The following is a 17553-nucleotide window of genomic DNA, read 5'->3' as shown; positions in this document are numbered from 1 at the left end:
CCTCCCGAGTAGCTGGGGCTACAGGTGCCTGCCACCACGCCCAGCTAATTTTTTGTATTTTCAGTAGAGACGGGTTTCACTGTTAGCCAGGATGGTCTCAATCTCCTGACCTCATGATTCACCCTCCTCGGCCTCCCAAAGTGCTGAGATTACAGGTGTGAGCCACCACGCCCGGCCAAGATAATTATTTTTTCAAGATGGAACTGGATGTGGTGAGTAAGGTTAAGAGGGGTGATTTCTAATTCTGTTAGGCAATTGGCCAGCTGATTCTAGCCTCAGTAATGAGCTCTGGGTTGGAAAAATAAACTTGAGGATCATCATTAGATTTAAAATTGCCTAGAGATGGCCCAGTGAGGTGATTTATGCTGTAATCCTAGCACTTTGGGGGGCCAAGGCAGGGGTATCGAGCTTAGGAGTTCAAGAGCAGCCTGGGCAATATGGCGAAACCCTGTCTCTACAAAAAATACAAAAATTAGCTGGGCATGGTGGCGTGCACATGTAGTCTCAGCTACTTGGAAGACTGAGGTTGAAGAGGGGTCGCTTGAGCCTGGGAGGCGGAGGTTGCAATAAGGTGAGATCGAGCCACTGCACTCCAGCCTGGGCGACAGAGCTAGACCCTGTCTCAAAAAAAAAAAAAAAAAAAAAGGCCTAGAGATGAGATGATATGTCCTAGGGGAGTATGTAGACTAAGAGTCAAGGGCCTAGCAGAGAACCCTGAAGATACAGTTTTTTAACAAATAGGCAGAGTTAGTTGTTAAAAATCTGTATCTTCAGAGTGTTGGGGGCATGGTTTCCTCCTATGGTCATTCTTCTGTAGGCTTCTTTGTAGGTCTACAAAGCCAACAAAGAAGCCTAAAGGAGAATGACCACAGGAGTAAAATCAGGAGATCATGTTGTCACAAGAACCACGGAAAAGAATGTTTCATTTCAATAGGGTTGATGAGTGCCAGAGATTTAGTAAAGAGCAAAGAATTCTGAGTTGGATGTAGCACCATAGGAAGTTATTTGGGATCTTCAAGGAGAACGTTTCAGGAATATAATGGAAGAGAAGGAGATTTGTCATTAGTTGAGAAATTATTGGAATGATGAACTGGAGACAGTGAACACAGAACCCTATCAAGAACTTTGACTGTGAAGGAGGTAGAGCGAGAGAAAGGGCAACAATTGGAGGAGGAGAGACTTACTTTCAAGATGGTAGAGCTATGCATGACTAAACGTTGATGGAAGGTTTCCAGGAGAAAAAGAGAGATGGAGAGAGGGGAGAGTGGGGAGAGGAAGGCAGGGAAGGGTGGGGAGAGGAAGGCAGGGGAGGAAAAAGGAGGGGAGGAGGGGAGGAGGGGAGAAAGAACTCTGAAACTTCCTCCACTTATAAAATAATAAAACTATCTGAAATCAGTTGGAACCAATATGGCAATGGACTGAGCTTGCTGACATCATAGCCTGAATTTCCGCTGCATACTTTCCCATCAGGAAGTATAAAGCATTAACTGTGCATGCCCAAGGACCTTCCAGACCTCCCCTTTCCTTCCACCAATCACCAGCGGCTAATCCCAGAATCCACTCCCAAACAGTTTCTAATGCAATTACTGCCTTGAAGCCAGCACAGGAAGACAGATTTGAGCTGGACTCCTCTCTTCTCATTTGTCAACTTGTAATAAAAGCCATTCTCTTCTCAAACACCCAGTATCATAGTATTGGCTTCTAACACACTGAGCATTGAGCTGCTTTTGCTAGGTAACAAGAGAATGTTCAACAAAGAAAAAGAAACTAGACATGCAAGAGTGTCTATTTATCATCTTCTACAGCAAGCTTCCACAAATAAGGATCCACCAGCCAAATCCAGCCCACTGCCTGTTTTTGCGGTAAAGTTTGATTGCAATTCAGCCACACCCACCTGTTTACACATTGTCTATGGCTGCCTTACAGTTACATCAGAGTTGAGTGGTTGTGACAGAGACCTTATGATCTGCAAAGACAGAAGTTTTACTATCGGCCCTTTACAGAGAATTTTTGTCAATCCCTGTTCTATAGGAAAGATGGGAAGGTTTTGGAGAAAAGGCAACCTTCAGAAAAATCCAACTTCTGAGTCTGTTTCCTTTTCTGCAAAATAAGGACACCATTCATTAAATCAGTCTTTCATTTCACAAACATTTATTGATTGCTACTATGTGCCAGAAGCTGGGAGTGCAGAGATCAATAAGATCTAGCCTTGTCCTTTGAAAGCCCATGGTCTAGTAGCAGAGATAGATGGATAAACAAATAGTTGGAATACTTAGAGTCCAATGCTACGTGCATGCTATGCAGATGAAGGGGAGGCATTTTACCTGGCTTGGATGGGGCTGGGAAGGAATCATTGGCATATGAGGTTGCTATGGTTGAGAATGAAACCAGTCAGTGATTAGTGTGGCACAAGTAAAGATCAAAGAGAATCAAAGAGGAAGAATTCTGGAAAGCACTAAGATAGAAGGGCTAAGGGAAGGGAGACTGAGAAGGAGCAGTGAGAGAGGTAGAAGGAGAACAAGGAATGTGTTCCTGGTTGATTTTAGAAATATAGCACCCTATCTTCCAAAAAAGAACAGACATTTTTCCAGAGCCTAACATTTATCAGATACTGGCTAAGTGCAAGAATCTGTCTAAGTACTTTACATTCATTTGGTAATCCTCAATACAAGCTGGTGGGAGAGGGATGTCTTCCTAGCCCAGGGTTATACAACTATTAGGTGAAATATCAATGGGACACACATAGGATACCACTCTATCACTCTGCCCTTGATACACCTCCCTAGCTGATCATTGCCCTCCCTGCTGAGTCCAGATGTGGCTTCACAATGTGTCTCAACAGAGCTTTCTGGGCAGCCACCACCAATCAGTTGGAGTTGGCCCCTGAAATGAAATCTATCTTATTTTTTATCCCGTCTTTTTTTTTTTTTTTTTTTTTTTTTAGTTTTTAGAATCTATGTTTTTGAATTTCCCATTACAAAAAAAAAACTCTATAAAAATGCTACTGGTTGTATTTGATAAAAATTTTGCACTTGATTTTCCATTATTTAATTTAGCATTGATCAAACTCTTTGAAGACGGCAAATAGTGTTTTTCTTTCTTTCCATTTTCAGCTACTGCCTTCTTAAGCACATTTTCTTTTTTTTTAATTATACTTTAAGTTTTAGGGTACATGTGCACAACGTGCAGGTTTGTTACATATGTATACATGTGCCATGCTGGTGTGCTGCACCCATTATCTCGTCATTTAACATTAGGTATATCTCCTAATGCTATCCCTCCCCACTCCCCCCACCCCACAACAGGCCCCAGTGTGTGACGTTCCCCTTCCTGTGTCCATGTGTTCTCATTGTTCAATTCCCACCTATGAGTGAGAACATGTGGTGTTTGGTTTTTTGTCCTTGTGATAGTTTGCTGAGAATGATGGTTTCCAGCTTCATCCATGTCCCTACAAAGGACATGAACTCATCATTTTTTATGGCTGCATAGTATTCCATGGTGTATATGTGCCACATTTTCTTAATCCAGTCTATCATTGTTGGACATTTGGCTTGGCTCCAAGTCTTTGCTATTGTGAGTAGTGCCACAATAAACATACGTGTGCATGTGTCTTTATAGCGGCATGATTTATAATCCTTTGGGTATATACCCAGTAATGTGTTATCCCCTGTCTTAATGCATACCCAAGCAGTTTGTAAAGTACAAAGCACCCTTGCCTTAAAATGTGGTATTACTATTACTATTGATTATTAATAAAATTAAACAAAATAAAAACCTAACAATGACATGATAATATGTGTGACATTCAACCTAGATGTTTTGGAATCTGGAATATATTTTGGCAATGTAAATGTAACACAAATACATAACTGATCTTTAATAAATTCATTATACTCTTTTCAAATTGAGTCTAGGATGCATACTCATTCCTGGAAATCATTCCTACATGTAATTTAACTGAGCAAATAAGGAATTTCTAAAATGTACGGGAGATTGAATGGATTTAGGAATGGGGCAGATAGTCCCCTTTATTATGTTTAACATTTTAAGGAAATATTTCAAACATTCAGTAAAGAGAAAAGTATAACACCCATGTATTCACTACCTAGATTTTAAAAGTAGGCATCCCTCAGTATCCATGAGGGATTTGTTTCAGGACCTCCCTACCAGCATACCAAAATCCATGGATGCTCAAGTCCTTTATATAAAATAGTGGAGTATTTGCATATAACCAATGCACTTCCTTCCATATACTTTCAGTCATCTCTAGATTACTTGTAATACCTAATACGATGTAAATACTGTGCAACTAGTTGCTATGCTGTATTGTTTAGGGAATAATGATAAGAAAAAGAGTCTGTACATGTTCACTACAGATGCCACATAGATTTTTTCCTCCAAATATTTCTGTGATTGGCAGAATCCACAGATGTAGAAGCCAGAGATACAGAGGGCCATCTGTACTAGCATTTTGCCATTGCATCAGAGATTAATGAAAAGAATACAATTATTACAGATACAGTTGGTGTTCATTTTATGCCTTCTTCCCATCCTGAATTCTCTCCTTCTCCCTGGAGGTTACCACTCTTCAGAGGGTGGTGTGTATCCTCTTCATCCACGTCTTTATATTTTTACTATATTTATATAAATGAATACTAAACAGAATTGTTTCACATGTTTTTAAACATTACAAAAATGCTAAGGCAATGTAAAATTGTTCTGCAACTTGCCTTTATCATTCCATACTATGGTTTTGAAATGCCTTTGTGTTGATTCATGTGTTCATTCATTTTATAGCCTGTCTTCTTTCTATTCTTTGAAACCTGTCCAAATTGTTGAAGACAGAAAGCAGATATATCCGACAGCTTCTCTGTAGCAGATATGAAATCATTTGGCCTCAATTGTTTTCTCTTTTTTCCCTTTTTTCTTCTTAGTCTCTCCCCTCCCCTTTCCTCTTCTGCTCTATTAAGGATTTTGAATATAAAAGGAAATAGCAGAAGAGAGAAAACTCTTCATGGAGGGTCTGAATTTAGCACCTTATCTTCCAAAAAAGAACGGACTTTTTTTTTGGAGCAGCTAACATTTGTCAGATACCAGCGAAGTGCAAGAATCTGTTCTAAGCACTTTACATTTATTTGGTAATCTTCAATACAACCTAGTGGACAGAGGTGTCTTCCTAGCCCAGGGTAGGTGGTGATTTTAACCCAGGCATTGAGATGCCAGAGCTGATGCCCTTCCCTATTCAAAATAAAAAGTCATGTTGATCCCAGCCTCCCACAGTGTTAGGCAAGCTATGAAAAGTGAGAGTCCCCAGGGCTAGTGCTTTAACAATTTTGGGTAGTGATTCCACTACTAAATTAAGTATCATAATGATTGCTAATAATGAATAATAATAAAGTAGGTACTTGAAAATCCACAGGGCTGAGTGTTACCTCAGTTCAGTTTTCTCACCTGAACTTTAGCCACCCATTGATTTCCAGCTCCCCTATGGATATTTCCATTTGACTACGCCATGACTGTTCCTAACTCTGTAAGAACCAAGCTTAGTTATTTCTTTCCCTCTTGACCATTTCTTATTGCAGCAGATCTGGTGCCTCAGTCTGCCTTCCATGGTCTTCTGTACTCTGGTTCCTCAATACCTGCTAAAGACTGAATCCCACCACCCTCCCAAATTCCCTAATCCCCAGTGTGATGGTATTTGGAAATGGGGCCTTTGGGAGGTAATTAGGTTTAGGTGAAGCCAGGGGGATGTGGTCCTCATGATGGGATTAGTGCCCTTCTTGAAGAAGAGACAAGAGAGCTTGCTTTCTCTCCACCATGTGAGAATACAGCAAGAAGCTGGCCATCTGCAAGCCAGTAAGAGAGCCTCAATCTCGAACTTCTAATCTCCCACTTGAGAAAACAAATTTCTGATGTTTAAGCCACACTCTCTGGTATTTGTTGTAACAGCCTGATATGGTTTGGTTCCGTGTCCCCACCCAAATCTCATTTTGAATTATAATTGACAGAGCAGGAGTATCGCCATCTTGGACAAGGACTGTCATTTAAAAATTCACCTTAATCAAAAACCACCTAAATCCAAAGGGCATCAGCCTAATGGCTAAGGTCAGCATGAACATAAACCACAAATAACATCTCTGACCAGAAACATTCCAAACTCCTCCCTGATCAGAAACATGCTAGCCCCAAGATAAGCCCCCTCTGGCCAGGAAGATGCTAGCCTCAGATAACTCCCCTCTGGCCAGGAAGATGTCAGGCCAAGATAATAGAAACATTCCAACCCCACCATAAACTTCTCCCCCCACCCCCAAAGAAACATCCAAGCTTGTGATAAACCTGCTCACCCTAAAACCAATTTATACTCTTAGTCGGGAAGAGAAAGTGCTCCTGACCAAAATCAGCCAGAAGCCCCCTCAGGTTTTTTCTCTAAAATAAACCTGTCTTTGACTGTTAAGCCTTGTTTCATATTTCTTTCCTCTTTCTTTAACTCTTAAAGTAATAATCCCCACATGTTGTGGGAGAGAGCTGGTGGCAGGTAATTTAATTATGGGGGGCAGGTTTTTCCCATGCTGTTCTCATGATAGTAAATAAGTCTCATGAGATCTGATGGTTTTATAAAGGGGAGTTCCCTTGCACAAGTTCTCTTGACTACCGCCATGTAAGACGTGCCTTTGCTTCTCCTTTGCCTTCTGCCACGATTGTGAGGCCTCCCCAGGCATGTGGAACTGTGAGTCCATTAAACCTCTTTCCTTTATAAATTACCCAGTCTCAGGTATGTCTGTATTAGCAGCATGAGAACAGACTAATACACAGCCCAAGCTAAGACACTATATATAGCACCTAAGCCACCTATTTAGCATTTAAACGTATTAACTTTCCATCCCTTTTCTGCAAATCTACATTACCTGTCCTCTTGCCTGTTTTTTCACTCATTATTTTCCTGAGCTAGGCTGGCACTCCCCTTCCCCACGTAACTTCACCCTTAAAAGAACAGAAATTAAAGTTTCTTTTTCCCTAGTCTTTTCCTATATTTTTCCTACTAACTTCATTCTTTAGACTCCTACAACACTTAACTTGTACCACACAATATAGCACTTACTTGTATAAATGCTATTCACTTTGCAATAAATCCCTGTACTTTATTATTATTTTGAGACAGGGTCTCACTCTGTTGTACTGGCTAGAGTGCAGTGGTGTGATCTCAGCTCACTGCATCCTCAACCTCCTGGGCTCAGGTGATCCACCTCAGCCTCCCTTGTAGCTGAGATTACAGGTGCACACCACCATGCCAGGTTAATTTTTTGTTTTTCAGTAGAGACGGGGTTTCACTATGTTGCCTAGGCTGGTCTCAAACTCCTGGACTCAAGCAGTCTGCCCGCCTTGGCCTCCCAGAATGCTGGGATTACAGGCATAAGCCACCACACCCAGCCCGTGCTTTCTTTTTTTTTTTTTTTTTTTTTTTTTGTGAGACGGAGTCTCGCTCTGTCACCCAGGCTGGAGTGCAGTGGTGCAATCTCGGTTCACTGCAAGTTCCACCTCCTGGGTTCATGCCATCCTCCTGCCTCAGCCTCCCTAGAGCTGGGACTACAGGCTCTAAATATTTTTAGTTTTAATATAGTTCAATTTATACATTTTTCCTTTATGATTAGTATTTTGTGTCCTGTTATAAACTTTTTGACTACTTCAAGGTTGCAAAGATGTTCTCTTATGTTTTCTTATTAACTTTTAAAATACAGACTGACAATCCAAATGAAATGTATTTTTGTTTATGATGTAAGGAGGGTCCAAATACAATTTTTTTTGCATGGAGAGACACAAATGACCTACCACTATTTTGTGAAAATATAATCTTTTCTCCATTGGTCCATGTTCTGGAAGACTTGTAAAAAATGAATTTTACATTTATGTCTATATATCTATTTACATAAATGGTTAAAAACTCTACACATAATTCTAATATTCTTCTATTTTCATGCAATACTGTTGACACATACAGCCTATTAATGGCTGCATATAATGCATATATGTGCATTATATAGATGTACTGTAATAATTTAATTAATTCTCTTAAAGTAGACATTTAGAGTATTTCCATTTGGCTATGTTATTGAGATGCTGAAATGAACATTTTGTCCAAAGTGAGTGCCAGCTGTTTAATTATCTCCTAAGGATAAACTGCGAGGAGGAGGAATTGCTGGGTTAAAATGCATGTCCTCTTTTTTTCCCGAGACGGAGTCTCGCACTGTCGCCCGGGCTGGTGTGCAGTGGTGAGATCTCGGCTCGCTCCAACCTCCGCCTCCCGGGTTCAAGCGATTCTCCTGCCTCAGCCTCCCAAGTAGCTAGGATTACAGGCGCCCGCCACCACGCCTGGCTAATTTTTTGCATTATTAGTAGAGACGGGGTTTCACTATGTTGGTCAGGCTGGTCTCGGACTCTTGACCTCGTGATCCGCTCGCCTCGGCCTCTCAAAATGCTGGGATTACAGGCGTGAGCCACTGCGCCCAGCCAAAGTGCATGTCTCTTTTCAACGTTTGCCTTCTGGGCTAGGCGGCTTGGCTCATGCCTGTAATCCCAGCACTTTGGGTGGCCGAGACCAACGGATCGCTTGAGTCCAGGAGTTCCAGACCAGCCTAAGATAGGGAGATGCCATCTCTCTAGGAGGATCGCGTGAGCCCGGGGAAGTTGAGGCTGCAGTGAGCCGAGATCGAGCCACTGCACACCAGCCTGGGTGAGGGTAAGACCTTGTTTCAGTAAACAAACAAATAAATAAGTTTGCCTTCCGTAAGGTTTCTAATAACGTTTTTCTTCCATCCACAGATGTAAACCTGTTTCCCCATAGTCACACCAACAGTGGTCATTACCAAGGTTTTACATCTTTGCTAAACCGAGTAAAAAGAAAACTTGCTGTTTTCATTTCCATTCTTGTCTAATAATAGTTTAAACAGTTTTGTATATCCTTAGTGGCTATTTGTTTGACTTTTTTGTTTTTTGGGAGGCCTGTTCTAATATTTGCTCATTTTCCTTCTGGGGTTGTTGGCCTTTTTCTTATTGGCTTATTAAGCAACATAATTAATATATATTATGTCATGTATATATAAACAATCTTATCTTGCAGTTCCCTAGTTTGGCTTTTAACCTATCGTCTTTTGAGCTGCAGTTTCAACCCAGTCTGTACAGGAAGTAACAACTGTCCAGAAGAGTCTGAAAGCCCTTGGGGCCAGCAGCCAGTGAGCGGAACCAGCACGTCCTGACAGACAGGTTTGCCCCGTCCCTTCCCTCCCTCCCCCTCCCCCTCCCCTTCGCCTCCCTGTCCCTCTCCCTTTCACCCCTCTTCGGGACGGAGCCAAAGAATGCTCCGCCTGCGCGCGCCGCTTCCGTTGCCATAGTGGCCGGGGGCGGGAGGCTGGCGCCTCCCAGCTTCTGTACTCCGCGAAGCAAAACCTAGGGAGCTGAGGCCTAGGCGAGGCGAGAGTCGCCGGCGTGCGTAACGTTGGCGCACGTGACTCCGGCCCGGCCTACAGGGCGCGTGCGCAGTGGGACTTGAGTGCCTCCTGGTCCCTGTCTGCCGGCATTCGCGGCTGCGGGGCCCGGAGGTGGGACTGGCTTCCCGGTGCCGCGAGGGCGGGTCCGGACAGCCTTCCCCCCAGTCCGGCGCACCATCTCCCTGCCTTGTGGCTGGAGGCGCCGCGGACCCAAAGGGAGGGACCATCCCGGGAAGCAGCCCCGAGAGCGGAAGTGCAGAATGGCTTCCTCGAGAGAGTAAAGTGCAGCCTCTCCAGACACTGGGGCCCCAGTGGGCGTGGGCGAAGGTAATCCAGGCCTGGGTACGATTCCGGGCCCTCCTTCGACTTCCCAGCGGGTGAGCCAGGGGCTGGGACTGAGTTTCCTCCAGGTCAGGGACCGGGCCTCTGGAGTGGGGTTTGGGACTTACTTCACTAGATGAAATGAGATATGGGGTGCCCGGCCCAAAGTCAGCCCTGGATACTCACTGGCCGTTGTTTTCACAGTTGCTGGTAGGAGGAGTTGGCGGAAGCACTTGGAACTCCTTTATAAGTGTCAGCTGTGAGGTAAAAACTGTTGATGAGATCTTGTGGGTTTTGTTTTGGGTTCACTAATTTGGGCGGGGGCTACATAACTGCCTACTTGAGTTTGCAATATGAGAATGGTAATAGCGACCCACTTAGCAGAATTATGATGTCACAAAGCTCAAAGGACTGTTTAATGAAAGGCTCAGAGGATCATATACTGGAAAATTTTTCCACACACGCTGTAAGCCACATGCTTTTTTTTTTTTTTTTAAGTCATGCATTTAAGTGCTGGAGTGAAGTTGAGGTGCACTATTAATGACTCATATTCAGAACCTGAAGAGAGAGATCCCTTTTGTGCTAAGTATGATATCCACTCATTTATTCAGTAATACTGAGTGCTTACTGTGTACCAGGCAATGTCCAACTTCTTGGAATGGTCTATGTGTAAACAAAACAAAGATCTCTGTCCTGTGGAGCTTACATTCTAGTTTGGGGAAGACAAATAATAAACAGTAAACAAAAAGAAGGAAGTTATAGGTTGGAAGTACATGAGTACCATAGGAAAAAAATACAGCGAGGTAAGAGGCATGGGGAATGCAAGATGCAATCTTAGGTAGGCTTCACTGAGAAAATGACATTTGAGCAAATATTGGAAGGAGGTGAAGGAGTTAGCTGTGCTGACAGCTGGGGAAAGAGCATTCCAGGCAGAGGGACCACCAATGCAGAAAGACTTTTGTCTTGGAATGTGCTTGGTGTCTTCAGTGAACAGCAGAAAGGCCTGTTTGGCTGGAGTAGTGAGTAAGGGAGTAGTAATAAAAATTAGGTGGCAACACAGCAAAAGTATAGTCAGAACGGTGGAGTGTCTGAATCACTTAAGTTGTCCTCATGTGAAGGTAATTTCCTATTAGCTTAGGTAAGGTTTCACAGCTTAACTACAGCCGTTAATTAGTATGTGAAGTTAATGATTAAAATTAGACTTTTTCCGAAATAGAGTATAGATGAGATCTAAACATGGCTGTAGTTTCCAGCAAGCACAATGCGAATTAAGACAGAGGAGCTTGTTGAAAAAAACTTTTATATGCCCTTATTTTAAGATTTTAGTGAATGTGGAAACACCTCAGTTTTGTCTTCCTTTAGAAATTTGTCTAAATATAGCTCTACCAGTAAAAAAGAAACAAACAAAAAACAGGCATAGTGGCTGACACCTGTAATCCCAGCACCTTGGAAGGCCGAGTTGGAGGGATTGCTTGAGCCCAGGATTTTGAGACCAGCCTGGGCAACAGAGCAAGACCCCATCTCCACAATTTTTTTTTTAACTAACTGGGTGTGGTGGTGCACGTCTGTAGTCCCAACTCCTTTGGAGGCTGAGGTGGGAGGATCCTTTGAGCCTGGGAAGAGGTCAAGGCTGCAGGGAGCTATGACCTGTGCCACTGCACTCCAGCCTGGGTAGCAGAGTGAGACCCTGTCTCAAAAAAAAACTTTTTTTTAATATAAATATACCGTGGCAAACAAATGACTAAGAAGACACCTGTTACTTCAAGGAAATTACAAACTGGTAGAGTAGACTTGCAAATAATTTAAACAAAATAAGAAAGAATGAAAAAAGTGTGCTAAAAGAACAGTACAAAGTAAATGCTAAAAGAAACATCATCTGAATATTATTGTATGTATTACAGCAGTAGTTCCCTTTGTTTCTCATTTTGTCCTTGAACATCTGCTTTTCTGGAGTGATGATTTGATTGCCAATTTTTTCATATTTAACAAATTCAGATTTTTTTGAAAATCATTTGTAGAATGCATTGTGTATGCTAAATAAGTGCAGAATTTGTGAACTAAAGCATCTATTGATTAACATTGCACTAACAGGTACCATGTAATATTCATTGCTCTCCCTGCTGGAATTTGTAACTTTTCCAAAACTATGCCATTAAGCCATACTTCTCATATCCTTTTTCCTCTTCAGAAGGAAGAGGTTTCTTTGTTTCTGGTTTCTTTGGCAGTGTTGACTGCCAGAGTATGTAGAGTGACTATTTGTAATTTGTATATTCAATATGTATATTTCTTCAGTATAAAATTCTGCTATCCAAGTGTTAAGTTTTAGTGGCTAGAAGAAATAATGATATGTTATGGTGGAAGTGTGGAGCTGTCTGAACCATATGAAAGCCAGGAATCTATAGTTTGAGACATACCGGGTAAACAGTTGGTCACTTTCAGCATCAAGCAGAAAAAGGCTAACCACTCAAGTACAGCACAGTTTACAAGCAGTATGATGATGAACGTTAGTTGATGACCTGTATAGGTGATTGGTACCACCAAAGTGCCTGTCTTAGAGAATGAAATCTGGACAGAGGATGTATTCAACAATCCTACTAGTGAGGTAAGTGGCTTGTGGCAGGATCAGTACTGGGTTCAGGTACATGATCCTCTCCCTGAAGGAGGTAAAGTATGACGGGAACTAAAAAAAAAAAAAACGAAAAGTCACATGTTAGAGCTTGAACAAAGGTCATGTCCAGGGATGAATCTCTAAGGATGGATTTGTTTGAGGTCATGTAGGTGTTGTCACAGTCATTGGTAGGGAAGAACTTTGGGGAAGAGTTAGATGGGTTACTATGATAATCAGAGCTGTCATTCACTGATGATTATGCTTTGTTATATGTTTTTTATATGCTAGTATGTTTTATCTTCTTCTTAAAAAATGATAGGCTTTTTTTTTTAATGAGAAGAAACCAAATCCAAGAGATGGAATTTGCCCAAGGGTGCTTATTAAGCCATAATTAGCAGAGCTGGAATTTGAACCCAGGTCTTGGATATCAAAGCCTTTTTCATTATTCCAGATTACTTGGTTAAATAACAGAGTATGCTGACTTTAGCCTTCCCATTTTATGGAGTTTGTCATGAGTGTGATCGTATTTGCTGCTCATGAGATTTCGCTCACTAATAAATTTGATTCATTTAATTATGTGTTTTCTCTTCCTAGATTTTAATTTGATTTGAAAATGAGTAAGTGCAGAAAGACACCAGTTCAGCAGCTAGCAAGTCCCGCGTCATTCAGCCCAGATATTCTTGCTGACATTTTTGAACTCTTTGCCAAGAACTTTTCTTATGGCAAGCCACTTAATAATGAGTGGCAGTTACCAGATCCCAGTGAGATTTTCACCTGTGACCACACTGAACTTAATGCATTTCTTGATTTGAAGAACTCCCTAAATGAAGTAAAAAACCTACTGAGTGATAAGAAACTGGATGAGTGGCATGAGCACACTGCTTTCACTAATAAAGCGGGGAAAATCATTTCTCATGTTAGAAAATCTGTGAATGCTGAACTTTGTACTCAAGCATGGTGTAAGTTCCATGAGATTTTGTGCAGCTTTCCACTTATTCCACAGGAAGCTTTTCAGAATGGAAAACTGAATTCTCTACACCTTTGTGAAGCTCCAGGAGCTTTTATAGCTAGTCTCAACCACTACTTAAAATCCCATCGGTTTCCTTGTCATTGGAGTTGGGTAGCGAATACTCTGAATCCATACCATGAAGCAAATGACGACCTCATGATGATTATGGATGACCGGCTTATTGCAAATACCTTGCACTGGTGGTACTTTGGTCCAGATAACACTGGTGATATCATGACCCTGAAATTCTTGACTGGACTTCAGAATTTCATAAGCAGCATGGCTACTGTTCACTTGGTCACTGCAGATGGGAGTTTTGATTGCCAAGGAAACCCAGGTGAACAAGAAGCTTTAGTTTCTTCTTTGCATTACTGTGAAGTTGTCACTGCTCTGACCACTCTTGGAAACGGTGGCTCTTTTGTTCTAAAGATGTTTACTATGTTTGAACATTGTTCCATAAACTTGATGTACCTGCTAAACTGTTGTTTTGACCAAGTCCATGTTTTCAAACCTGCTACTAGCAAGGCAGGAAACTCCGAAGTCTATGTGGTTTGCCTCCACTATAAGGGGAGAGAGGCCATCCATCCTCTGTTATCTAAGATGACCTTGAATTTTGGGACTGAAATGAAAAGGAAAGCCCTTTTTCCCCATCATGTGATTCCTGATTCTTTTCTTAAGAGACATGAAGAATGTTGTGTGTTCTTTCATAAATATCAGCTAGAGACTATTTCTGAAAACATTCGTCTATTTGAGTGCATGGGAAAGGCGGAACAAGAAAAGCTGAATAATTTAAGGGATTGTGCTATACAATATTTTATGCAAAAATTTCAACTGAAACATCTTTCCAGAAATAATTGGCTAGTAAAAAAATCTAGTATTGGTTGTAGTACAAATACAAAATGGTTTGGGCAGAGGAACAAATATTTTAAAACTTATAATGAAAGGAAGATGCTAGAAGCCCTTTCATGGAAAGATAAAGTAGCCAAAGGATACTTTAATAGTTGGGCTGAAGAACATGGTGTATATCATCCTGGGCAGAGTTCTATTTTAGAAGGAACAGCTTCCAATCTTGAGTGTCACTTATGGCATATTTTGGAGGGAAAGAAACTGCCAAAGGTAAAATGTTCTCCTTTTTGCAATGGTGAAATTTTAAAAACTCTTAATGAAGCAATTGAAAAGTCATTAGGAGGAGCTTTTAATTTGGATTCCAAGTTTAGGCCAAAACAGCAGTATTCTTGTTCTTGTCATGTTTTTTCTGAAGAACTGATATTTTCCGAGTTGTGTAGCCTTACTGAGTGCCTTCAGGATGAGCAGGTTGTAGTACCCAGCAATCAAATAAAGTGCCTGCTGGTGGGCTTTTCGACTCTCCGTAATATCAAAATGCATATACCGTTGGAAGTTCGACTCCTAGAATCAGCTGAACTCACAACTTTTAGCTGTTCATTGCTTCATGATGGAGATCCAACTTACCAGCGTTTATTTTTGGACTGCCTTCTACATTCATTGCGGGAGCTTCATACAGGAGATGTTATGATTTTGCCTGTACTTTCTTGCTTCACAAGATTTATGGCTGGTTTGATCTTTGTACTCCACAGTTGTTTTAGATTCATCACTTTTGTTTGTCCCACATCCTCTGATCCCCTGAGGACCTGCGCAGTCCTGCTATGTGTTGGTTATCAGGACCTTCCAAATCCAGTTTTCCGATATTTGCAGAGTGTGAATGAATTGTTGAGCACTTTGCTCAACTCTGACTCACCCCAGCAGGTTTTACAGTTTGTGCCAATGGAGGTACTCCTTAAGGGGGCCCTGCTTGATTTTTTGTGGGATTTGAATGCTGCCATTGCTAAAAGGCATTTGCATTTCATTATTCAAAGAGAGAGAGAAGAAATTATCAACAGCCTTCAGTTACAAAACTGAACATATGCTTTCTGAGATTCAACTTTATGATTTCTTATAATTTGCCCAGTATTTGCATCCTGTTGCTCTATTAATTTAAAAACCTTTTATTTTGGGGAAAGGCCAACATTTGCATCATTCAAAGTCTCATTAATTCTGGAAAACCATCCATTCTGATCTCTAGGGTATATACACCCACAGGCATAGAGCTCTTCCACGTGGTGGAATCTATGCAATGATAGATATTCACACTCTAAATATGAGGTGTGTGTATGTGTATGGGTGGCCACAGCCATGCTTACCTATGCCATTTAGTTGGTCTTACTTAATCTGCTTAAGATTTGCATCTGTGTACCTTTGTTCAGATTAGTTTTTTTTTTCCAGCCGATTTCCTCTTAGTGGCTAATGCTGTTAGTGAATTTTCCAACTAATTTCCTCTCATTGGTTAATGTTGTTAATGAATTGAGAGAGGTAATTGAGGAAAGGAAATGAGTAAATCACTGTTCAGCAACACTGATTTCCGTTAACACATCAGTTATGAATTTCAGGGAATTCATCTCGCCAGATTCTTGATAACATGCCATTCATTGCCCTTAGGTGATTGACCCTATTTTCTTACATGGCTCAAATAAAACTAGTATGCTGTTGTATGAATCTTTTACTGACCACACCATCCAACTATAAAAATATAACGGGACAGCTTTAAACCAAAGATCATGTTTAGAACAATGAAAAATTATTTGTTGTATCTAATACACGCCTGTATTGTGAAAAGCTTCATTTAGCAATGATGTAATAATTTTTAACTTCCAGGAAATAATCTGTGAATGGAAAGATTTTTTAAGATTTTGAGATAGTGTTTAGTCTCATGTTGGGAACACATGAATGTGATGAACATAGTGAATACTAAAGAAAACGCTTCAGACTTTCAGAATGATGGTTCAGAATTTAAAATTTTTAATCTTTTCTAATTTCTTTTTTTCAGTGTGAAAATAGCACTTTACCAAAAGATTAGCCATGAAATGGTTATTTTGCCAGTTACATTTGATTTCTTTTGTATCTGCAATGTAATGAGTTATTTTATTTCTTCTGTATTTGCAGTGTAATGAGTTTTTGTGGCAAAGTGTATTAAGCAATTTTTCATTATCTTGAAGTTCCACAAAGTGGAGAATATTTATATTCTCACATGCATTTTAGGCACTTTTGATATGTGAAAATAGATGTATTTTCTGATGCATTTGGTTAATAAATATTAATCTGAACATTTTCATGTTCTTTGCTATTTTGAATTCCATTATAGATTCATGAATAAAGTCATTACTAGAGAGATTTTGTGTTCATCTTTTTTAAATGGAATTATGGGAGAAGTTAAAAATATAAGTTGGAAACAGACATTTTTAAAGGGAGTTTTGAATGATAGTTAATGTTCTTTCATTTTCTCTGATTTGCATTCATTAAAATTTAGTCCTTAATATTGTAATACTTATGGAAGGCCTACTTCAGGAAAGAAATTGAATACTTAAGGGGGATTGGAAGAGGAGTGTGTGGAGGCCTGGAAGTAGATTTTTGAAAGAAATCTGATTTCCTACTGGTGACTCTATGGAAGCAATTCCAGTTGTATGACGATGGAAGTCTGACAGAAGGTTGATTACCAGGAGGAAAAAAAAAAACACTCTTGGAAAACCATTTTGCACTTAATAGTCTTTATGCCTTGCTAAGTGGGATTCAATATACTAATAATGCAGCTTATTTTTTACTTATTTTAACTATTTGATAAGAATGAAGTTGAAGGCATGGGTCCAGATTCTAGCATTATTACTGTCTTTAAGCCCTTCAAATAAGTATTGAATGCTTAGTGTTTTGTTGACACTAATCTGTACTGGAATATATAACACTGAAGTATTCTCAAATGTATTTTGCTTTTTAACGTGGGTTTTGGAATCAATTGCTCATCTGATTCATTGGATTCAAATTGCTTTAGAGGTTAGACATGACTTGAGGAAGGTTCAGATTGAACTGGATATATTAATAGATGACAGGTACTAATGATTTATATGAGTTTCTCTTTAAGAGAAAGGAGAGGAAAAATGCTATTCAAAAGATGAATGGAAAAGTAGAAGAAGACAGGAAGAGGTGAGAGTATGCATGTTTTACCAAGGTAGACTGTTCTTAAAAACTTTTTTCCACAGGTTTTGAGATTTTTAATTTGTAATATCTATTAAAAAACAAACATCAAA

The 17553-nt window shown here is 40.4% G+C and overlaps 1 protein-coding gene and 1 long non-coding RNA gene across 14 annotated transcripts in view, besides 2 other annotated features; one reads left to right on the top strand and one right to left on the bottom strand.

The window, feature by feature from the left end:
• LOC102723786 (uncharacterized) overlaps positions 1 to 10145 on the bottom strand; it is a 21164-nt gene extending 11019 nt beyond the window's left edge. For 2 of the 3 annotated variants that reach the window (XR_933707.3, XR_429763.4), the window contains exon 1: positions 9990 to 10145. This is a non-coding gene — a long non-coding RNA (uncharacterized LOC102723786). Of the gene's footprint in view, positions 1 to 1894; positions 1967 to 9989 lie in introns of all 3 variants that reach the window. The other variant, XR_933708.2, reaches the window with a different exon arrangement.
• Positions 9223 to 17553, top strand: CMTR2 (cap methyltransferase 2). 11 transcript variants are annotated; one of them, NM_001324377.2, is made up of 3 exons: positions 9223 to 9258; positions 10008 to 10067; positions 13006 to 17553. In NM_001324377.2, exon 3 carries the CDS (start codon positions 13025 to 13027, stop codon positions 15335 to 15337), a length of 2313 nt encoding a protein of 770 aa, NP_001311306.1. In that variant the 5' UTR covers positions 9223 to 9258; positions 10008 to 10067; positions 13006 to 13024; the 3' UTR covers positions 15338 to 17553. The 11 variants fall into 11 exon arrangements, with proteins under 11 accessions (NP_001311306.1, XP_016878933.1, NP_001311303.1 ...); XM_017023444.2 differs by having other exon boundaries at positions 10008 to 10389; NM_001324374.2 differs by lacking the exon at positions 9223 to 9258 and adding an exon at positions 9543 to 9593.
• Positions 9271 to 9340: a silencer, noted in NCBI's record as "silent region_7676". NCBI's record gives its function as "represses an Ori minimal core promoter by ATAC-STARR-seq in GM12878 lymphoblastoid cells {active_cell/tissue: GM12878}" and the evidence as "EXISTENCE:reporter gene assay evidence [ECO:0000049][PMID:35858748]".
• Positions 9421 to 9790: a silencer, noted in NCBI's record as "silent region_7675". NCBI's record gives its function as "represses an Ori minimal core promoter by ATAC-STARR-seq in GM12878 lymphoblastoid cells {active_cell/tissue: GM12878}" and the evidence as "EXISTENCE:reporter gene assay evidence [ECO:0000049][PMID:35858748]".

Source organism: Homo sapiens, chromosome 16 (assembly GCF_000001405.40).
Source record: "Homo sapiens chromosome 16, GRCh38.p14 Primary Assembly".
NCBI lineage: Eukaryota > Metazoa > Chordata > Mammalia > Primates > Hominidae > Homo > Homo sapiens.
Note: the sequence above shows the minus strand (reverse complement) of the source record. Positions and strands in the feature narration are given on the sequence as shown.

Bases quoted from the DNA above. Each gene is read 5' to 3' on its own strand.
- CMTR2 (NM_001324377.2), top strand. From the start codon at position 13,025: ATGAGTAAGTGCAGAAAGACACCAGTTCAGCAGCTAGCAAGTCCCGCG.